General features: G+C 35.8%; 2 long non-coding RNA genes across 2 annotated transcripts in view; one reads left to right on the top strand and one right to left on the bottom strand.

The window, feature by feature from the left end:
• Window positions 1-24,033, top strand: part of LINC01901 (long intergenic non-protein coding RNA 1901) — an 84,572-nt gene that overhangs the window by 39,213 nt on the left and 21,326 nt on the right. Inside the window, exon 3 of the long non-coding RNA NR_187474.1 lies at window positions 23,406-23,511. This is a non-coding gene — a long non-coding RNA (long intergenic non-protein coding RNA 1901). The remainder of the gene's footprint in view (window positions 1-23,405; window positions 23,512-24,033) is intronic.
• The window catches only part of LINC01902 (long intergenic non-protein coding RNA 1902), a 48,285-nt gene that overhangs the window by 4,339 nt on the left and 19,913 nt on the right, over window positions 1-24,033 (bottom strand). Inside the window, exons 2-8 of the long non-coding RNA NR_151703.1 lie at window positions 21,507-21,602; window positions 20,255-20,415; window positions 19,744-19,886; window positions 16,690-16,767; window positions 14,687-14,825; window positions 9,205-9,267; window positions 3,140-3,234 (exon numbers count right to left, since the gene is read on the bottom strand). This is a non-coding gene — a long non-coding RNA (long intergenic non-protein coding RNA 1902). The remainder of the gene's footprint in view (window positions 1-3,139; window positions 3,235-9,204; window positions 9,268-14,686; window positions 14,826-16,689; window positions 16,768-19,743; window positions 19,887-20,254; window positions 20,416-21,506; window positions 21,603-24,033) is intronic.

Here is a 24,033-nt window from a genome sequence, read left to right as displayed (position 1 = left end):
ACTTTCTTCAGTTGAGTATACCCTAAGTTATTATTGGGAAAAATAAGCAAAAGAGTTACACCTGGAGAAAGCAAAGGTCAGCTTGAGAATAAAGCTGTTAAATGGAGAGGCCTAAGGAAGTGGGGCCCCAGTGCTATTCTACCTAAACATAATAACAACAATGTATGACATTTGTATAGTCTCATTGAATCAGAGCTCAAAGTGTTTATCAAAGGAGAGTTAACACTCATTAATTAACCCATCTGGCTGCCCCTGTCTATGGCTCTAAAAATTAAGCAACAGTTTCTTCATTACAGACATTTCTAATTGCATTTATTACACTAATTAAGCATCCCTTGTGCTTTAATTAAGTGCGCAAATGTTGGGGCATAGGACCCATCTCCCCCAGAATGGAAGATGATCACCTCCAAACTGAAAGGATAAACTTGAGATACTTAATAGCACTTTAAATAACAAAGATTTGATAAAGTTTGAAAGGGAGAAAGAAGAATTCGATCTGAGAACCCTGATATTTCAGACACATACAAGTAATAAAAACTTTCAAGTGTATGTATCAATCAAGAAATATTTACTAAGGGTTTATTATATGCAGAGCACTGGGATGAAGCAAGTAAGGGTGACAGATAAGCATAACCCACTCTGAAGCTCAACTTTTGGAGGAGGAAATGCTAATTTCATTATTGTATTTATGTCCCCAAACACATTCCAAAAATATATGAGGCAGCTTATAAGCTAATGTGATCAAATAAAACAAATGAAGAAATGAAGACCTCTAGGGGAAGAATGAGCTAATTTAAAAATACTTAAACCCTCTAGAGCCAGAAGGGAGAATATATGAAAAGTGTAAAAGAGTTGGAATCAACAGTTCCAAATCTCAATCTTTTATGAGTATTTAATTCAATTATCATCTTATGGTTATGTTGGGGCACATTTGTCAAGATTTCAGCAATTACTGATTTTTGTGACATTAGCCAGTTATAATGTGCAAAAAATAACTGCTTCTGGTCCTGCACTCTGCAGAAAATCAGAGAAGCAGAGCACCCAATTCAATCAAGATGTTGTAGTTAGCGTCAAAGTCATTGCTTGAATATGGGAAGACGTGCCACAGTAACCATCCTGGACTCTCTATCTCCTAACTACTTCATAGACCAGAGGCTTATAAATTTCCAGGTAGCTTGTTAGAAATGCAAAATCTAAGATCCCAGCCAAGACCTATTGTATCAGTATCTTCACTTTAACAAGATACCCATGTGATTGACACACTTGTGGTTATGCTCCAGGACCATTGCTTACTCTTCTCTATGGGAGGTGAAAGGGTTGTCTGCTTTGAGAATGTAGAAGAACCTGAGAGTGTTTGGCCCAATACCTCTAGATTGTTCTTTTGGCTCCCCTATGTGTAGAGAGGGTACTTTTTGCTCTGTGTTTCATCATGATGTCAACTTCTTGAGACAGATTCCTGTTGAAGAGTTCTATGGTAAATTAGCTTTGTCTGGGATAGACAGTGTCAGCAAAGTACTAAAGTGCTAGAATAGCAAATTAGGAAACCAATGCAGAAACAATTCTCGTCAAGTGTTCCAGTCAGCTTTACTAAAAAAAATTGATTGTTTTATTCTCTATGTCTGATCCCTATGAATGATTTTTAGACTATAAGGGTTAATGGATGATCCCAATACTTTTTGTTTTAAAAAATACCGTATTTTTGGCCAGGCACAGTGAATCACATCTGTAATTCCAGTACTTTGGGAGGCTGAGACAGGAGGGTAACTTAAGGCCAGCAGTTCGAGACCAGCCTGGTCAAGAAAGGGAAATTTCATCTCTACAAAACATTTTAAAAATTAGCCAGGCGGCCTGCACCTGTGGTCCCTGCTACTCGGGAAGCTGAGGCTGGAGAATTGCTTGAGCCCAGGAGTTTAAGGATGCAGAAAAATACTTTGTGTATTTTTTGGCAGCTCTTAACTATTGCAATTTTTTCCTGTTACTGAGTTATTCGTGACCTCCATTTTTTTGACTAACTAGCTATGTCCTCCAAGAGATGTCTATTTCCTATTTCATTTGATAGGACTCAGATTTTTTAAACACGACCATCTTTTCACCAGATCACCAGGAGTTATAAAGCTTTCAAATCTCTTTAATCATTCCTTGCATAACTTATTTTTATTTGTGCAATCACGATTTAAGTAATTTCCACAAATATTTCTAAGTATTTATTCCATATCTACTCGAAAGTGATAAGGTACACTAGAGATAGACGTGAGAACACCTATTCACTCAGCTATCTTATATATAAAGAAAAATAAGAACGTTTCCATTTCCCTCTGACCTATTGATGTTACTTCAGTAATAGGAGAATGTAAATATAGCTCCCTTTTGGGGAATAGTATTAGTAAATTCAAATTAGTATAATTTAGTAACAACAAGGGAACATCTTGATTGGGTTTGGTCAGTTCTGAGTGTTGGCTCTTTAGGTGCCAGTTCATAATATTTTAATATAAAGGAAGACTCAGCTTTGCCTAACCCAATGCAAGACAGTATCCCCATCAGCCTTTGCAGGTCTGCCTCATAGTCAGTGTGGACTTTCTACAAGCAGATCAATTCCTTTGGCTAACTTAGCAAGAGCAGCACAATTTCCTCCACATCAAAATGGTCACATTTCAAAGAGGGGGCAGGAGTATCCGGAGATATCCTCTTACATTTTCTATTCACAGGGTAGCACCAACTCCAATACCTCCTAATAATTAACTAAAGAAATGTAAAAACATGAAAGGATTCAATTCGTTTTGTTTGAGGGCACATTGCAGAGAAGAACACATCATAACGCTGGTCAGTTTGAGCGGGACTGAATATGCAGTGTGAATCCACGTTACAGGAACAGATGCCCAGTGGGAAGAATGCTTAGGAGCTAAAAGGCCCTGAACTATAAAATATTCAATAATGGACTCCGGAGGTGTGTGAAGAATCATACATTAATAAGGATTAAAGTCACTTTGAGGTGATTGTATAGAGAGTGCCCATTTTTATATGGATGGAAGTTTTCAAGTAAGTTGAGAAAATACCTAAGAGAACAATTGCAGGAATGTATTCTAAGACTAGGTTTAGCTTTGTAAGAAATTTCCAAACTGGACAGGGTATGGTGGCTCACGTCTGTAATCCCAGCACTTTGGGAGGCCAAGGCAGGTGGATTGCTTGAGCCCGGGAGTTCGAGACCAACTGGGGCAAGACGGCAAAACCTTCTCTCTAGAAAAAAACACAAAAAATGAGCCAGATATGGTGGTCATGCACCTGTAGTCCCACCTACTCCAGAGGCTGAGGTGGGAAGATAGATTGAGCCTAGGAGGCTGAGGATGCAGTTAAGTCGAGAAGGAGCCACTGCACTCCAGCCTGCGCAACAGAGTGAGACTGCCTCAAACAAAACAAAACAAAACAAAACAAAACAAAACAAAACAAAGAAAACAAACAAAAACAAAGAAATTGCCAAACTCTTTTCCATTGTAGCTGTACTATTAGTATTGTCACCAACCATAAATGAAAGTTCCTGTTCCTCCTAATTTAAGCATTTGATATTGTCAGTATTTTAGATATGACATTGTAAAATGCATGTATTCATATATTATGTTTTTAAATTTTCAATTCCCTAATGACATATGATAGTAATCATCATTTTATAGGCTTATTTGCAATCTACATATGTTTATTATTAAACTGTCTGATCCTATCTTTTGCCCACTCTTAAATGGTTGTTTGTATTTTTATTGTTTAGTTTTCAGAGTTCTTTGAAGAACATGGTGACTATAGTTAATAACAATGTCACTTGAAAATTGCTGAGAGTAGATTTTAAGTGTCAGTACCACAAATAAGTATAGGAGGTAATACATGTTAATTAACTTGATTTAGCCATTCCACAATGTATACATATTTCAAAACATCATGTTGTACACTATATATGTGCACAATTTTTGTCAATTAAATACATAATTTTTTTTTAAAAAAAGAATTATTTGCATGTTTTGGACACAATTCCTTTACCAGATATGTGTTTGGCAAATATTTTGTCCTAGTCTATGTCCTTGTCATTCTTTTAACAATGTCTTTCATAGAAAGGAAGATTTTGATTTTAATAAAGTCCAATTTATCAATATTTTCTTTCATGGATCACGCTTGTGATGTTATATATAAAAAGTCATAACCAAACCCAAAGTCACCTACATTTTCTCCTGTATTCTAGAAATTTTTTTGTCATGTGTTTTACATTTTGATCCATAATCCCTTTTGAGTTAATGTTTGTGAAAGATGTAAAATCTGTGTTTAAATTATTTTATTTATTTTTTGCACATGGATATCCAATTAATTCAACACCATTTATTGAAAAGATATCCTTTCCCCATTGAATTGCCTTTGCTCATTTGTCAAAGATCAGTTGACTATATCTGTATGGATCCATTTCCGAGCTCTCTATTCTGTTCTATTTATCTATGTGTCCATTTTTTCACCAATATCATATTGTCTTGATTACTGAAGCTTTATGATAAGCCTCGAGATCAGTCAGTGAATGTCTATAACATAAAATAATGGGCCATTCAACTCTCCTTGGCATATTCCTATAAAGACTTTCATAAGTATCAGGGTTTGGAGGTCTTCTGTGGACACTGTAAGCATAAATAATTATCTAAAATAAATATTCAAGATAGTACATCTTAGGAAATAAACTCCTCTTTCAACCCATGTAAGTGAGTTTGTAGAAAAACTACATTTTGCTAGCCTCCTTTTAAGGAAAGTACTGAAAATTCCCAAATGGAGGAAATATAGTGTTCATATTTATGACACAGAACTAAGAACTGAGTCTTCAAGATAATTCGATAAAATACATTAAACACAAATAAGACTTGGCAGCTCAAACTTTTTTTTTGCCTTCTTCTGGGTTAAAGAGTCTCCCTCCTGAAGTAGTAGATACCAATTTTCCTGCAAAGCCCACTTGAACACTTACGAGATGAAGGTGATTGAACATAGCTTACCCCAATGGAGGGTTTGGCGTCAGAGAACAATAGCAAGTTCTAGTACAGCTGGTTGTGGAGCACAGCTTTTTTTCTCTGAAATGTCTCTTGTCTCGCCCTATCCTCCATAATTCCATTCTCCATAATACCTTGGCCCTCAGATCCTCATGTTATGGGGTATGTCAACCACTCCCTAACCAGTTTCTGTCTTCTCCAATTTTTCATTATAAATAACAACTCATTTTCCTTCTATAATAGAAAACTTTGATTTCACTTACCTTTTTCTTATTCCTTTTGGCACTTTGATTTTAGTTACCTTTTTTTTTATCGTAGAAGCCTTTATTTTAAGATGGATTTCAAGTCCTTTAAGTCATTTGATCCAGCTTATCTTTCTCATCTCTTCTCCCATCACGGTGCTAAACGTACTTTATTCTCTAGTTACACAGGACTGTCTTATGTCCACTCAAAACAGTACGAATAACATTCAAATCCCCATGGATTTGTCTTTTTCTAACAATCTACACCCCATTCTTCACTATTAAGATTTATCAAAAAACTTACATCAAGCTCCCTGGTTGGCCCTGTGTTTCCTTAGCGCATTTAGATTAAACGCAATGTGATATTAAAAAACACATATGATGGTGCTTGCTCTTTAACACTTGAGAAAGTTTAATTTTCTTGTCTTATCATATGTGTACTTGTCTGTCTTCCTAGGATGAGACTTATAATGAAGAGTTTAATTTTTTTTCAATTTTTTATTACAAAGATCTAGCATATGAATGAATGAGGAATGAATGAATGAATTTATGAATGAACAAATGCAGTAGTATTGGTAGATTTATTTCTTTTCTCTTTAATTGATGGAACACACCATTAGCGTTTCTCTATTTAGGCAAATACAAATAAAAAATCCCTTATTTCACAAATTGATCATCTGTGCAATGTTTAGGCCACAGACAATGCAGGGTTTCAAGTCTGCCTCTTCCTACAAACAGCAGAAGCAGGAGGAGTTCACATATCTGCGATTCTCCTTCATTGAGCAGATGCTTCAAATGAGAGAATATTTAAAACTTGTTGGTTATAATTTACATCGTATTAGTCCAGATAAAAACATGCATTATCAAAAGAAAAATTAAATGATCATTAAGTTAAATAGCTACTTTGTTATCATTGTGTTTGTTTCAATTTTATCAGTGCAAATAGCAAAAAACATTAATTTGTACAGAAATCAACATATTCATTTTGACCATTATATGTGTATATCTTCAGACTGAAATCATTTAAATAAAAACAATACTATGTGGTGAAGGTTTGCTTTAGATTTAAAAACCACAGAGGACTACAACCTTCTCCTTTTACAGGATGCAGAGACTGAAGTTCAAAGAATAGCTTGTTCAAGGTCGTTCTTGAGCTCTGACCTGCCTGGCTTCAAGAGGGTAAGGCTTTGTGATTCATTCATATGTACATGGGCAAGTAGGAAAGGACATTTATGTGATACTCATCAATGAATACCAGAAACATTTAAGTGAGGTATTATGTGAAGGAGAGAAATGTGTACGTTTTTGGATGAAATACTAATGAATAGGATTAGACAACTGGGTTTTAGGCTCTGGAATTTTGGCTTAACATCTGAGCAATGATTTAATTTATTGAGGCATTATTTTACTCATCCCTTTTCATTTTTCTCCCATTTGTTCTTCTCTTCCTTCTTGTTGCCCCTATCTTTTACTATCAAATGCATAGTTCAGGCTCCATCTCCTTTTAGATCTGTCTTGCCCTTTACCCTTGTTAAATTTCTTCTCCCCTCTAATTTTATAGTGTATAGAATCTAGAAAACACAAACAGCTCTTAGGTTTATTTAACAAGTATTTACTAATCAATCACTTTGAGCAAGGGTGTTTTAGAGGGACTGTAGAAACCAGTATTCTGTACGGTGAAACAGTATTTTCTAATTGATTCATATGCTACCTTGGTCTTCTAACTTCCCTTAAGGAAGCATGTATTTTCTGTTGCTACAACACTTAACAGAGGGATAAGTTCAGTTGGAAATCTGATTGATTGATTCTGTCTTCCTTGTCTATAGCCTTTTAAATACTGGTGGTAATTCCATGCATCTCACCATGGAGGCCAATTAAATGTCAGTGATAAATTACACTCTTCTTGATTTTTTTCCCAAAAATAACCCCTCCCCTAATCTCTTGACCTCTGTTCCCTACTCTGGATTTCATTGTCCCTGTGACTTGACTTCATACCGAGCTTTTGACATCTGCTTCTTTTTTTCTCAGTTTGATTTTTAAAAGGGATTCTTCCATTTCTAGCCTTATTGACTGTGTTTTCTCCCCCTGGGTCCTTTATGCTTCCCAGGCCTTCTTACAGATTTATTTCTAAATATTCCATTGTGAGATCCAATGTATAGAATTCCCATTTGGTTAATTAACCCCTACTGGAAATAGGATTCCACCAACTTCTACACTTACAACCAAAACAGAGAGATCCAGGTATATTTATGGAGAAAGACCAAGGAATATAAGTGTATGTAAATTCATACTTTTTTTTTTAATCTGGATTTTTCAAGGGGTGATATGATCATCAGAAAGAACCAGAAAAAGATGTATGGGGTTCTAGGAAAAGCAGTCTAAATAGACAGTGCATTTGTATAAAGGATTTAGTAGTTAATGTTGAAAATGTGGACTAGAACAAAATTACGGAAGCTTGGTCATTCTTTTTACAGTCTCTAAAAGTATGAGAAATTTTTTTGTTCCTTAAGGGCCATTTCTATTCCTGTAAGTTCACCAATTATCTTAACATTTCAAGCTGGCTCTTTGGACCTTGAAGAAGAAATTCTAAAGTTTGTGAATAATTTGGAAGGTGGTTTGCTACCTTTTTTTTCTTTTTTAGCTTGTAGGAGGGTGAATGTACTTCTTGCCCTGATTCAGTGTCTTATACTCCTTCCTTGTTTCCGGAACAGTAGTTAATAGCTACAATGCAATCAATATTACTTTACCCTCTATAGAATCTCCCATACAGGCAATATTGCAAACTGCTTTTTTCTTTAAATAATACAGTAACCAAGTTAAATAATAAATAATAGCCCAGAGAGAGGGGAAAAAAATGAATGTTGTGTACAAAGGAGGAAAAATCGGCCTTTCTATACTATTTGAAAGGAAGTTAGAAGTTTATGAGGTAGAGGCCCAGGAAGATCATATATCATGGGAATAACTGTTCTCTGTTTCAAGCTTTCTGGGATCTTCCTAATTTTATGAAGGCAGTTTTGAACTGTCACCTCAAGATGATGAGCTTTTCAAGGAATATGAGAATTTGCCACTAAAGTAACATAGTATTACATCATGGAAAAGAAATGGGCCTCAATTTTAACTCTGGATTTTGAGTATAGAATACAGTTTTGTAAAATATATCAACTAGTATTTAAATGTCTCCTAAATTGTGTGGAAGGCTCTTGTTTGACAAAATGCAATTAACACCAAGCAATGGATCTGATGAATATACTCAAAAATGGTACAGAGAATCAATATTAATATTCTTCCAAACTATGCATAATGATACAAAGCCATGGCCCAGGCTCTTACCTGCTCGGATTGTTCTGTTAGCTTGTTATATCTATGCAATTTTTGTAGTGCAAAACTCTGTTCATCCTTTGGAGTTCAGTTCAAGTGAAGTCTCCTCTGGGATGAAACTCCCAGAGGAATTGCCCTCTCACCCCTAGTTCCCTATCCCCATTCATATTACTTCCATTGAGGACTCTCTCAATAGAGCTTGGTATGATTGCTGTTATTTTATGCTACTTCCACTATTGAAGGCTCACCACTAAATTTCCCAGTTATTTATGCATAATGATTGGTCAATGACCCTTCACCCTAATGAAAAATCAGCCGAAGACAATAGAGTTTAAGTCCAATAAGTGATGAAGAGATACAGCTCTGAGAATGTGAGCAGAAATTTTGACTGCAGGATCTTGCATTTTAAAAGGTAGTATGTTGGTCAAAGGCCATTGAGTGACTATTGAATACACTCACAGAGGACACATTTCCACCTGTGCCATTGCTGATTAGGAAAAAGTCTATTGTATATTTCTAAGTTCTGACTCCTGGATTTATCAAAGGAATTAGTTAAAGAGCTGAGCCATTCAAAAGTATTTCATATCATCTGTGAAACACCTTGGATATAAGTGGAATGAATGTTTTTTTTCTCTTCTTACCCAAGACGGACCATCTAGAGTCTTTCATCACCCTCATATTGTCTTTTCCATTCAGGTTAAAATCTAAAAGAAAAAAGAAAAAAAAGTCCAACATTCAGAATCCCCAAGATGCATACGTAAATCCTAATAGAAAATGCTCAGTTCAAGGTAAATATAATTTAGCCATTAAAATTGGATTCTCAATTTCAGGGTATTTTTTTAGGAGGGATTTATGGTATATTTGGCTTAGCCAGAGAGAGAATGTGTTTACTCCTGATGAGATGTAGGTAAAGAAATGAACAATTTATTTTTCTCATGCATATCGGTACTTAAGTTTGTTTTCATTTCAAAGAAAAAATGAAACTTTCCCCACTCAATTTTAAGCTCATAGAGGTAAAGAATATGCCATATTTAACTTGTATTTTCAAGGTCTAGGACAGAGAATATCACATAGTAAGGAGGGACTATGTTAAGAAAAAATGAATAAATGGAGTACATAACTCCAGACCTCAATTGACTATGTTACTTACCTCAAAGATTTCTGGGAGCAAAAAAAAACAACAAAAAAAGAGGTCCCACAATATCTGACTCATTCTTCCTTACTGGTCCCAATACTCTTCTCATTGTGCACAATGTCCCATCTTTGAGTAAGCACAGGAGAAGGACAAGCACCAAGAAAGCTGCATGCAAAATGTGGAGGCTCAATCTATTTTATTTTTATTTATTCATTTACTTATTTTTGAGATGGAGTCTCACTCTGTCGCCCAGGCTGGAGTGCAGTGGCACGATCTTGGCTCACTGCAACCTCTGCCTCCCGGGTTCAAGCAAGTCTCCTGCCTCAGTGTCCCAAGTAGCTGGGAATACAGGTGCATGCCACCACGCCTGGCTAATTTTTGTATTTTTAGTAGAGACGGGGTTTCATCATGTTGGCCAGGCTGGTCTCGAACTCCTGACCTTGTGATCCACCCTCCTCATCCTCCCAAAGTGCTGGGTCACCAGTGAGTTAGCTGCACACAAGAAGCAATCAGACAGTTAGTACCTCTTAATGATCACATTAGATGTAAGAGACTCCAAGAGCTCCAAGCACTCAGAATAGGGAAATATCATGCAGGCTATAGGGGCAGGTAAAGCAGTGGGTTTCATTTAAGCTGGGATCTACTCCAGTGTCACTCCTTTTTTAGCTCTGTAACCTTGTTTGCTAATCAAAGCACTCCAAGTCTCCTTTTTCTCATCCATGAAAGCAAAAGCACAATACTTGCCGGGCTAAGTGTCTAAGGTTGTGTGGAGATCGCTGAGTTAGATTATCTAAAAGTAATTCGAAAATCATAAGCACTAGCAAGGATGTAAATGATTATTACCAGTTGAGAAGGCTTCAAGGAGAATCTATATGGTTTTAATATGAAGAAAGAAAAGGGTGGGCCTGCATTGAAAGCACAGAGGAAACATCTGAGCAAACCTCTGGGATACAAATAAATCTCCACATGTGCAGAATTTAAGAGTAAGGTGTTCTAATAGGTGCTGAGGTGGAAGATGTGGGGATCGTGAAATTTATGGGGGATCTTGATTTGCTTTTGTTTTTTTTTAATTCATCTGCTCTCCCAACCCCTCCACTGTAAATCTGTCAATGAAAGGCAACTGTGTCAGAGATACAGAGGGTCAGTTTCTGTCCCATTGGTTAGAACATGGGCTCACTATTACTTAGTAAAGCAATTGTTCTGAATCCTTTATCTGGCCTGTTATTCAATCTAGCTGTATTCGGAAAAAGAAATGCAGAAGAGAAATAGTGGATTTTTCATCCTTGAATAGGTGGTTTGTCAAAGGCCCAAACCTATAGCAGAACTGTTATAATGATTTTCCAAATCCACTCTAGGATTTTCCATTAGTATTCATTTTCTCTTCATATAAATGGCTACCAACTCAAATAGAAAGGGTTGAAAAAGTCTCCCTCAAATGAAAAATTCTGCGTGAAGCCTGAACATACAACCTTTCATAATTTATTTTAGAAAAGAGGGAGGAAAGCTACAAAGTTTATATATAAACATGTATGATTATATACATATATCAATTTGCATGAAAGAGAGGTTTCTCTGTGGCACAATGACAGCTAGTATATTCTAAAATAACTTTAGTTTGCCATTGATAAGGGACTAGAAAGAAGAATATGTGTGTTCATGAGTGTCCATGGGTGTCTCTAAATATGTATGAGTGTTGGGGGCAGGGAGGCAAATAATGAAACAAAAGAAGTAGTATCAGTTTCTGAATTCTAGTGATTTTTAGAAAGTAGATTAAATGCCTTTAAGAAAAAAAAATTACACACTTGTGATTTGCTGCAAACCCCATGACCAGCACATAAACAGATAGTCATTTAAAAAATATACAAGGCAGCCTACGCTAGCAGAATAAGTGCCATGAGAATGCTAGGAGGATATCTAGTTTAAATCTTAGGTTAATCATTAAGTCTCTCTGATCTTCAGTTTCCTTATCTATGAAATCACTGGAGTAGTTTCTACTCTTGTCTGTCTTAAAAGGTTATTTTGAAGCTCAAGTGAGATATAACATAAAAGCATTTGTAAATTGATAACAGATATTCAACTTTTAAGTGAAATGTTATTTTGGGATATATCTTCATTCACTAAAATCCTGTTCACAATAGTCACAAAAACCTGGTCCTTGAAAGCTGAAGTGTTACTGAGGGTAGCTTGATAAAGGATTCAACTGCCATTAGGCAGTTGTGGTCACCTTCCTTTGAGATGGCCCCAAGTGATGCCTGCTTCTTACCCTTATGTACAGGGTCATCCCACATTGGTCTTATGTTGGTCCATGTGACCAATAGGTTATGTTGGAAGCAATGGTATGTCACTTTCTACATTAGGTTAGGAAAGACATTGAGCCATTGAGAGTCATATATAAGGCTTCGTTATGAAGCCTCAGGGCTTAGGAGGAAGATGTAAAAATTCTTTATAAAACATAATGATAACAGCCAGCATTTGCTGAGGGCTTACTATATGCCTGGTCCTCTACTAGGCATTTTACAGAAATTGCCTCTTTAGATCCTCACATCAACTTGTACAAAAAACGTGAAAGTGACATTAAGTTTCCTTATGCTTCTCTGTGCCCTTTCTATTAGATCTTAGCATTGGGTCTGTTTTAGGACAGGAGCCTCTATTCAGAATTATGGCCCCCTTTTTTACAGATGCCAAAGAATTAGTTCCAGGATATAGTATATTGCCTCTTTCTTTCCTATAGACAATTTTTCTTTTAATGTTGTATTGAAAGCAAAAGTGAAAATTACCATCATATAACATGAATGCAATAACTGTATTGCTTTTAGTGAAAGGGCTATTTGTTCCAATGAGGATGCTAGTGTCAGAGAAAGGTTTGAGATGCAGTCTGAGCTTCCCAGAGAATGCCTTTATTAGGATAATTCCAAAATTGAAAAATAAAACAACAACATTGTGTGTTTTGGATTAGATGCACAGAAACACACACACACACACACACACACACACACACACAATAACTTTCTTTCCTCCTTCTTTGGGATAGGAAGGATGTGGATAAGTGTGTGAGAGCAGAGGAAGATTTATTATATAGACAGTGGATGGGTCATATTTCAAAGTGGAGTGTTCCAGGAGGTGCCTCTTCAAATTTCATTTCTCAATTAAATGGGGATAGCAGAATTACGGGCATTAATCCTCTTTGAGCTGAGACAGGGATTAAAACAAAAACATGTTTCACCCAGTCAGTAACCCTAGGAATCCATGAGACCTGAGCTGCTCAGATCAAATTTATTTTGAGAGCTCATTGAAGTATTTAAGCTCCCCTTGATTAGATGTTATAATGATCAGACAGAGAAGTACAATGAGCTAAACTTTGCTAAGAGCTTGACGGCATTACCAACCTAGTTTATTCTCAGACATGTGACAATTTCATTAATTTATTCATTTTAATTTGGAAAATTATTTGCTCTAGAAAAAAGACTTACATGAGGACTAATGTTCAATTTGTTTTTCATGTTCTTTAAATGCTAATGATATGTATTAGTTTAAAGGGCCTGCCCTCTCACTGATTCCCCATCCTGTGATATATGATATAATTACAATGGCAATTGATCTTTGACCGAAATGTTGGTAAAACGGAATGGAAGTTGCTTTTCATGTGCCAAGGTTACAGTTAAGGACAAAGGAGCTTGCACATTCTTGGAGATTGGCTTACAGAGCTCTGCCTAACCCCAGATATTAATTGCTTGCCTTTTATAGTCATCACGTTCACCTACTTGAACATCAAGAAGGGAATGAGGAAGAGCAAAAATGACTCATCAAGAGAAGATGGTTAGCCACTATCTGAAAGAAGTCAGAGGCAGGAACAAAGCTTGTCAAAATGGTTTGGTTTTGTAAGTTTATGGAGAAACTGGTACAAGCCTCACAATAGATAAGAATGACTGAAAGTTTTCTGCATCCAGAATGTGGAACCCACAAATCAGAAGGCTGCTCTCTTCTCTGCTACTAAACCTTTCTAAGCCTCTTCTTCCTTCATTCTAAAATGGTGTTAATAATAAATGAGCTGTACTCCTTATGAGATTCGTAAAGTATCCATGATTGCTGGAGAGAGAAAAGGACCTAAGAGGTCATTTAGGTAACTTCTTTCATTGTAGGTCAGCTCAAAGGAAACTTGAATTACATACATAATTATGGCTTCAGTAATTCAGTAGAAACTTTTAAGCATAGCTAATTGAAAAGTCTCAGTTTTAGCAAGGTTGAGACTTGCCAATCATTTATACCTAAGGGTTGATGCTTTATGTCACTTCATTTTCTTATACCTGCTTCAGCTAGAGAAGCCTTTGGAAATGCTCAGCACCTAAGAGGAAGGAGACTCAAGATATAGGGGGTGGGGATAGCTATATCCTACTAGTATGAGACCAATTAGTGGCTCAGTGCATATGATGCCTCAATCTTCCATTGACCTTACATGAACTTCATTGAGCCATTTTATCAGGGTAATCTATACATTTCATTGAATATTGATATGTCTAACTAGATCACCCCTCATGAAAAGGAGCAAGGCAGTGCTGAGTAAATGCAGGGCTAGATCTATGTCTAGAATAGTTAATAAAACATACCTCATAACTGTAACAAAATATAAAGGGAGAAGTTAAGAATAATAATGGAAGTAGAATTTTTAATTGTATAATTGTTCACAGTATTGGTTATTCAAAAGACTATTACCATGCCAACGAGGTAAGTGCACAAAAACTGGTCCAAATAAATTCAATGAAGAATTTGAGGCTTTCTGAGTAACAAATAGTTTACTAGAATGGCTGAGAAGCCAAGGGCAGTGTCTGACTCTGAACTATAAGAAAAAGGCTCTGTTTTTAGAGCCACACTGAAAATACAAAGAATGTCACTTCTGAATATAGAACCTAATTTCTCCCTGCACACACTTACACACATAGCTGAGTGGCCTCCAATCTTCTACCTGCCACAAATACCTTTAGAAAAACTACCTCTTTCCAATATTTTGCTGATTTTGCCTCTCTTTTCTGTTGAGGAAGAGCTGGAGAACAAGCTGAAGGTCACTTCAGATTTTCCAAATCAATGATTCATTTAGCAATGTAGTCATGGCTTAGAAAGGCAGTTGCATACCTGAAAATGAAAGGAAATAGGAGATTTCTGCAGCCCCAATGGGATCAGAGTGAGCAGCCCATATTAGTCAAGAGCCTGAGCCAGGATTTGAAAAGACATGCTACCGAACATTGAGTAAGCCAGTTTCGTTTGATTAGACAATGAATGCTTACTTAAGAATATTTGCGCTAATGCTCTCTGATTTAAGTAGGTTAGACTTGAGTTCCCAAGTCCCACTCATCTGTTTCCTAACAAAAAGCATCACATAAAAAGAAATTAGCCATGATTTATTTTTAAAAGTAAAGACTATAATTTGCAGGAAAACATTTATAAAACTTGGTGAAATTCTGCAATTAAACAGGAAGTAGGATAAAAGAAAAATAATAATAATAAATAAAAATAAATAAAACTTGATGAAATATATAAGACCTTCTGCAATAGTTATATTGTTATAATAAATATTTTAATAATTTCCAAAACAATGTCTGACCCTTAGGAAAGAATATGTTTATCACCATCTCTGTAGAAGTCATATTAAAAAGTATTCCTGGGGAAGAAAGGAAAAATTTAATTTTTAAATTAGCATGCTAGAAGTAGGTAAATAAATCAGAAGCACATCTTTCTTTAAATACTAAATACATAGCTGTAGGTAACTCACAAAAACAGACATGGAATACTTTATAGAAGACAATATTTTATAAAGTAGCTGGTATCAGCTTAGTATTCAAAGATTTCCTAGGAAAATGACACAAAAATGATTGTAATCAACAATAACACTGACTCTAATACTAATTAATTAGCAAAATTAATAACTTACATATTTCTCTCTGCCAGAGAAATGTATTTGCTAAAAGTAATAAGTAGAAATGTCTATAAGTGATTCTGAGGAAAACGAAGTATTCTGACTGATGAAGAAAAGTCTTAATAAAATATTGTTTTGCATCAATTTCTACATTTTAACTAAAAGTGTGCATACATTTTAGCAACTATAGTAATCAAATATGTATATATTGAGGTACTATTTTATAAAATATTATAATATTTTATTTAGAAAATTTTGGTCCAAATAATTCTACATTAAATAAATATCTTTGTCAAAATTTTTCAAAAACCTATCTGGATTGCAAATAAGTACTTTAAAAATCTGATGGTGGTATTTTATGATGAGAGTTAGTCTACCTTACCTTTACTAGTAATCTCCTTTGAGGCTCTGGAGTATCATATCATTTGGCTAACCACATCACTCAGTTTCTTCCTGCTGTCAATCTCTCACCTGCAGCCATGTAAAACCCCTGTCCTCTCTCCCTCTTTTTATAGACATATAGGTGGCTCAGTGAAAAGATAAATATAACTGAAAGAGTTAGAACTTGCTTCAACATGAATGATTGGTTCTATTGATCTGACTAAACTGACCTATCTGTAAGTTCAAAAACTAGATGCAGAAAATAAACTCATTTAAGCCATTTTTTTATTTTAAATAAAACACATACTTATTGTTATTTATGCAAAACAGTCAACTGAATTTAAAGAATTATTCAAGTGGCTACTACATAGGTAGGACCACACTAGCACCATCATGGCATTCTGAATCATGCAACAGAAACGGGATGTGGTTCTACACCAAAATATTTGTACTTGGTTTAGAAACAGAGTATGTATCTGTGTGATAAAGAGCAATATAAGGCAATGTATAATTAGGTACCAATATGTCTGGTTTATAGAAATAAAAACAATGAGATATCAAAAGAGAGAACTATGTTTAGACAAAGAAATCAGAACTGCGTCTCACAAGCGCTTTTTAGTAACAGGTATAACCTTTCCTGCTAAAATTATCTCTTTGCTGTATCCATCCATGTAGCTTCACCAGAAGTTGCCATGTGCTTACCTAACTCAGCTTTCTGGAAAGAGTATACTTGATTGTAGGATAACCTGTTATCAGTGCTGGACCAATACATCCCATTACCTGCCAAAAATATTTGAACTTTAGCTCAAGAAAGTTTCTGGAAGTTTGTAAAAAGAGGTAGAGGCTCCACTTCATACTTTTCTCTTCCTTAGATTAAAGAAATATAAGCTATCATTCTGCAGAAAAGAATGAGGGAAGATTGAGAATCTGTTTGGAATTTGAGTCCCTTTGTTTAGCTATTCTTTTTTTTTTTTTTTTTTTTTTTTTTTGGAGACGGAGTCTCGCTCTTTCACCCAAAGCTGGAGTGCAGTGGCACAATCTTGGCTCACTGCAAGCTCCGCCTCCCGGGTTCACGCCATTCTCCTGCCTCAGCCTCCCTAGTAGCTGGGACTACAGGCGCCCGCCACCACGCCCGGCTAATTTTTTGTATTTTTAGTAGAGGCGGGGTTTCACCGTGTTAGCCAGGATGGTCTCGATCTCCTGACCTCGTGATCTGCCCGCCTCGGCCTCCCAAAGTGCTGAGATTACAGGCGTGAGCCACCGCGCCCAGACCTGTTTAGCTATTCTTAATGCCAAGTCAAATTCTTATCCTTGAGTTCTATGTGACTTCCCATATCTTTATGAAATGTCCCTTTCTTTTGAATTTAGATTGAGTCGAGTCTTTAATTTGCCACAAAAGCCTTAATACAGAAATGAATGGGATTTTGTTTTTTAGCTCTAGTGCTTTATTCTTATTAGGAGTATCATGATCTATGAAAACTGTTTGGCTGACATGTGTTATTACAGTTAAGTGACATATCCCAGGCCATTTTGGAGTCTCCTCTGTATAACAGACACATGATATATTTTAGCAATTCTGACAACACCAAAAACTCTCTAAGAATTTTGAGAATGAAGATGCATAGCCCGGCATCATCTTCGTACTGATATTTGAGTGATAACTTCCAATATGTGTTTCATTACTGAAAAGTAGAAAATTATACCGTATTCAAGAAAGTCACAAAAAAGAGAAATAAAAATGCCAATGATTGATTTTTTTTTGTATCAGAGGAACATGTATTTGTTTATTTTGGTTTTCTATAGGTCTGTAAGATAATATGTCTTAAAATTACTAATAGTTTTTAAATTATTACAGCGTATAATTTTTAGTAAAGGGGAGAAAGTCTAAGAATGACTTATTCAATTAGAGCACATTATTTATCAATCTATTCATCTACATTTAATAAAAATCTCAATTTAGCTTTACAATAACCCCATTTTATAAATGGAAATATGTACACACATAGAATAAAAGTGTGCTCCAAGCTTATAAACAAAGTGGCAGATGTATCACTAGAATTTAGATTTATTGATAAAATTCATCATTTCCACCAAGCCATATTTAATTCTTCTTTAAAGTCTTAGAAAATTTTAAATAATAATAAAATAAGAGTAAGTATGAAGTCTGTGATCTACTAATATGTAGTCTTAGAAACGAATCCTATTTCTTATAGTTGATAACTAATACTTGATCTTTGGGTTTCTAGAATGAAAGAATTGTACAGTTAGGAAAAGCTTCAAGGGGATAACTTACATCTGTTCTTTTAGAAATGAGAAGCTAGAGTCCAGAGCTCCTCCTCTGTTTGTGTTACTTTGCTAAAATAATCAGTGACTGGAAAATCACGTGGATAACTTCAGCATTTCCCAGAAGTAGTACAACCAAGTTTTTATCTCCCTCTCAGCTTTAAACCTCAAAAGGGTTTTCTTCTCCAGGTTTGTGACAGTGAATCGGTCTCATACATATAGTATTTGTTTACTGTGTAATTCATGGATTGTCATTCTAAGGACAGAAAATAAAATGATTTAAGGTTAAATGTCTTATGTCAAAATCACAGATGTAATAGATTCCTAAGAGAGTATTAAAGCAGTAGGAATGGAATTACCCTTAAAAATTAAATGCTTAGCACTAAGAAGAAAAAAATGCCTGCCAAACAATAAAATCTGTGCATTTTCAACCTGGACACCTTGCCAAAGTTGATTCATCTGAAACATGTATGTGTGTTTACATGTGTTTTGTGTGGGGACATTGCTCGTATTTTGTGTAGGGCAGCATATAAGAGCTCCAGGGAAGAGGGACCCAAGCCATCAAAGATGTAAAAGCAAAATAATGTAAGACGTATTTAAATAGTGGCAAAGAGCCAACCATTTTTAGAAAATAAGTTTTATGTAGAAGAAAAAGAAAAAGTCACAAAAGAAATGGAAATGGCACCATGTTTTATGCTCTTTGCATATTGGACCAAATTTTGTACTTAATTTGGTAGCAATAATAAGTAACCCATGGCTTATAAACAGAGAAATGATAAAGATAAATCTGGAATGAATACATTATTAGATAGATTGATGAGGAGGTTGACTACAGCGGGAAGGTCAGTTCAGAGACTATTACAGTTACCTAGGTAATAGCAATGGGAACAGAAAATAGAAGAATACATAGGACTTCTAGTTAAAGGACTTCATAGGATTTACCAAGTTCCTTCCTCCCAGAATCTTATACATTTTGCATAACATTCTGAAGGGAAAACAAAATGAGGCATCACCATCACCACCACCAATAACAAAATCCATTGATTCCCTTAAGCTGTTTACCTAAGTCCACACTACTACTTAGAGGCACACAGGCCTAGAACTCAAGATTCTAAATTGTTTTCCCCAGAAACTTTTTGGTACTGCTACTTTAAGACAGCCTTAAGTTTGCTAATGTAGTTTTTCATTGTTAACATATCAAACTTTTTGATATCCAGACATTTAACTTAAAAAAAAAAACATAATTGAACACTTTCCTTAGAGGACTGAATGCATTCTCTCAGAGCAGTTCTCTGAGAAAGTCAGGCAAGCTATTCCCTCCTTGAATGTTAGCAAATAGAAAGTTACCTTTAATTCATCCTCGTGTCCTTTGAATAACTGTTTTGTTATTTCAATAAAGGTCAGAAGGCTTAATGCACAGAGAAAGGTTTGCTCAGGGTTTTTTTCTTTTCTTAAATGAACACAAATGCAAACCTTGTTCATTGGTGGCTTTGAAATACATGATTTCCTCAACGAAGAAGCAGTTGTGATCTTTAATCAGAGAATGAAGTCCAGAGTATTCTCAGGAAGAGACATAGCCTTATTTTAGTGCTGCCTTTTGAGTACTTGAGCCATCCCTGGGATGATAGAGGAGGAAAAAAATGGTGTTATTCCTGCAGAAAAAAAAAATGTGTTATTTAATATCTAATTTTGGGTTGAATTACAAGTACCATTTTATCACTATGACTATGTGGTTTAATTTTTGTGTGATTTTATTGTTTGTTTTATTTTTTAAAATGAGGCCATTAGTTTGAATTTTAGGCCAGATAATACAATTTTCTCTTTACATAGGGATACAACTTTCTCTTTACATAAGGATGCAACATTCTATCTCAGGGAGGATATGCTATCTCTATTCATGTTGATCTTTATAAATTAAAGCAAACATCCTTTTGCTCCCTTTCTATATCTTGCTAGACATTTTTCATGCATGTATCCAACTTACTTTTTTTGTTGTTTTTTGATGTGGTATGTATCTCTCTCTTCCAGACAGCTATTATCTCTGCCAGCTGGTATCTATTGTTTCGGGACTAGTGGACTAGTTGAGAGCTTACATTCTTCCAATTATTTTAAAAGTAGAAAGTTATCAACTACTGGAAGACATTGCTGTGTAAAATCAACAATAATAAATATAAATAATTGCAGCAATACATGTTTGTTGATCATTTATGAAACAGCAGACTGTATTAAAAATGCTTGGCAAATATTGTTTCATTTAGTCATTAAAAAAACACACTAAAGGGTGCACTGTTTTTACCCCTATTTTTCAATGAAGTCAATTTAAAGAAAGACAGGTGAGTTTAGGCAATCCCCTCAAGGCCATGTAGCTTATAGATATATTGCTGTATGTATTTTCACCCCTACTGTCCTATCAGCCCTCATGGAATCCACTCTAAGAGCCTGCTGAGATGCTAGAAGCAGCCCTACGTGCCTGTACATTTTGAAGCAAGGCATAGTTTATTGATGAACACAAACCCATCAAGGAAATATCTTCCTGAATGATGAAAAACTCTTTTTATTTTATGAGTAGTTTCTGGAATTTACGTATGTGGAAATATTACACAGTCAAATTTAATTTCTCAATTTAAATAGAAAATCAGTAAAAGAAAAAGACACTTTAGCAGTCTTTAACTTAGGTGTAAATTTGAGGGTTTTTTTTCAAACTTCACTTCTTTCCTCTTTTCATCAATTACAAAGAGAGCTAATGTCAATGAATTAGTTTTTGTTTTTATGTAACTGATTTAATGTTGTAATTTTGGAGACTCGAGTAGCTTAATGTAAACCCTATCATGACATAAAGATAACTGATTTCTGATCTTAAAAGTGCTGAACTGAATGAAAGGAAAAATAAAGTGCAGCTTTGAATTAAGATTTTGGTCACAAACCTTCAGACTATGGAATTCCAGTTCCATTTTTGGTTTTGATTGTCTAGGGCTCCAAGCAAGATCAAAGACCTCTTTCCAATTTCATTTTTAATGAGTTACTTCTTAAAAAGCAAAGCCTGCTGCACTCCTGGGTCTTCCACATTGGGACTCCCCTATGAGCTGATTCCAACTTCTCCAGCACCACAAAGAGATCTGTGTGTGATCTGTGTGTAGACCAGCTCACAACCAACAATACCCCAACTACCGTGGACACACGTCCAGAGTGGCCTCCATCTGCATTTAAATTCCAATGTTCAGAACTTGGAAACCCACCAAAATAGACACCAGTCTGCCCTGGCACTGAGTTTGGAGTTCTTAGGTGATTGCCATCCAAGTTCCTCTCTGGCAAAGCCCCACATGCTCTCTCTCCTGCCAAAGGGAAAGGGAAAAAAATTTTCACCATGAACAAAGAGAGGCAAAACATTGTCAAAATAAACCAAAACCCTGGGACAATAGGGTTCTACTAAAAATGTATTCCTATGTGAGCATTCATTAATCCTTGGTAATTTGTGGCTGTTTGAAACTTGTCACGTTATTTATTGTGCATCATACATAAGACTAACTGTAGAAACCCATGAGTAGATTAGGATGCTTTTTTTTAAACCCACACTTATGCTTTTCAGTCCATTTTATGTTTTTCCATTTTTCTTTGAAATTACATTTTTAAATGTTGTTAATTGGATCACAGCACTCTATAAAATGGATAATTAGATAATCCCAACATGATTTGAATTGTGACCAAAAGGAAATCTCATTTTGCTGGATTCATTTTTTCATATGGTAAAATTGGAGAATGACAAAGAATGAATTGTGAAGAACAAAAATAGATGACTCTGTGTGTGTGTGTGTGTGTGTGTGTGTGTGTGTGTGTGTGTGTGTGTGTGTGCGTGCAGATAGGAAGTTTTGGAAGAATGAAAACAGAAGCCAAAATCTGAGGAAACAGGAAGAAGAAAATAATGAAAGCATGAGAACATTCTACTTAGAGCATCCTCCTAGATTCACAAATCCTGTTACTGTTCCAGCTCAAAGTGGCTTGCAGTTCAGCAAACAAGAGAAACCATTTCAAGGACTAGATTACAATTCATATCTACAAACCATTAACTGAGTACTGTACACCCAGAACCATGATAAACCTGCCTGTCTCTGAATTGCAACAAACCCTTGCTATCAGACTTTTTCAGATGCTGTTTCTTTCCTTTCTGATTAGAAAGAAAACTTCCTTAAGCTTGCCCTCTTTTTTACCAGCTGCTATTGCACTTTTCATTTAGGTAATTTCCTCTCAGATGCCAGGATTCAGCTTAGTGCCCACATTTTCTGAAGACATTGCCTTGATCCCTTCCCACTCACCAAATATGTTTCCTCTGTGCTTCCAATGCATCCTATAGTTTCCTATTGGTGTCATTTATGACATTGTATTATGACTACTTATTATCGTGTTTGTCTTCACCAACAAACCAAAAATTCTCTAAGTCAGAAACCATAGGCTATCTTGTTTACAAATAGTACCTCAGTGCCTAGCCTAATATTTGATATATTGTGAGTTAAGCAAATATTTTTAGTCTAAATGGAAAAAAATAAAAAAAGAATGCATCACACAGTTTATCTTAGACCTGATGATCTACTCAAGCCATATAACATGTCCCTATGTTCACAGGGAAACTGGAGCACAGACTACCCACACTAGAACTTCCCTACTTATATTTATTCTATCCACCACAGGTCAACAAAAAGCAGAACTTCTTCATTTCTCTCAGGCTTCACCAAGGAAAAGTTGGCTTTAAACCATTGCTCCCAAGGCCCTTACATGATTCCTAATTCTTGTGTATACTACTGGCCCATCTGCCAGTGGGTTTGCCCAACCACTGGCTGAGTCATACTGTTTGAATCTTTGCTTCAGTGTCTCCTTAGAGAATTTCTCCTTCCTTTCCATTGTGCAGTCTTCCCACTTTCTGTCACCTCTCTCAACAGCTGCTGCGGGAGCTGCCTCTGCTCTCATTTGAGGGCATTACGAGTCTGGCCCCAGAGTACTGGTATGCAGAAACATGGCTTCCTTCATGCCAATATTGCTCAAGATGCTTTTGAAACATTTTGGGGGACCACTTCAGTGCTTTTTAGGGAGGCTGTCTTTTTATTTCAGAAAGATTTCAATAATGTCCTATTCTTCCCTTACAGAAGTTCCATTGAGGTGAAGCAATGATGCAAGGCTTTTGGCAACCGTTCCCCAGCTCCCAGCCACACATCGCTCCACTTACCTTGAGTGACAGCCTCCAAAGAAAAGGTAGGATTGGCCTATCCCCCAAAAGGAAAGCTGGCAAATGCCATCCTGGGGCCTGATTTTTGTTTTAAAAAGTAGCTCCAATGACATTTTAAAAATAATTATGAAGAGAAACAACCAAAATATATTCCCTATAAATTTATTTCCAAATGAGTGAATGCCAATAATTCTCTTTTGTTTCATGTAAAAGTTTTAGAAAAAGTAAAGTTGGCATTTCCTGCACATAGAAAATGTACAAACACATGTATGTGATATATGCACACACACACACACACCTACCTCATGAAACGTAAATATCTTAGAAAGAAAAATATGCTTTCACACATTAATCCTCAAGGAAGTTACCCCTACTTGATGGCAATACAGCCTAATAAAAGACTTAGCTCTCAACTTACAAGGGATGTGAAGGACCTCTTCAAGGAGAACTACAAACCACTGCTCAAGGAAATAAAAGAGGATACAAACAAATGGAAGAACATTCCATGCTCATGGGTAGGAAGAATCAATATCGTGAAAATGGCCATA

This window comes from Homo sapiens, chromosome 18 (genome assembly GCF_000001405.40).
Source record: "Homo sapiens chromosome 18, GRCh38.p14 Primary Assembly".
NCBI classification, from domain to species: Eukaryota; Metazoa; Chordata; class Mammalia; order Primates; family Hominidae; genus Homo; species Homo sapiens.
This window is presented reverse-complemented; position numbering and strand designations above follow the sequence as displayed.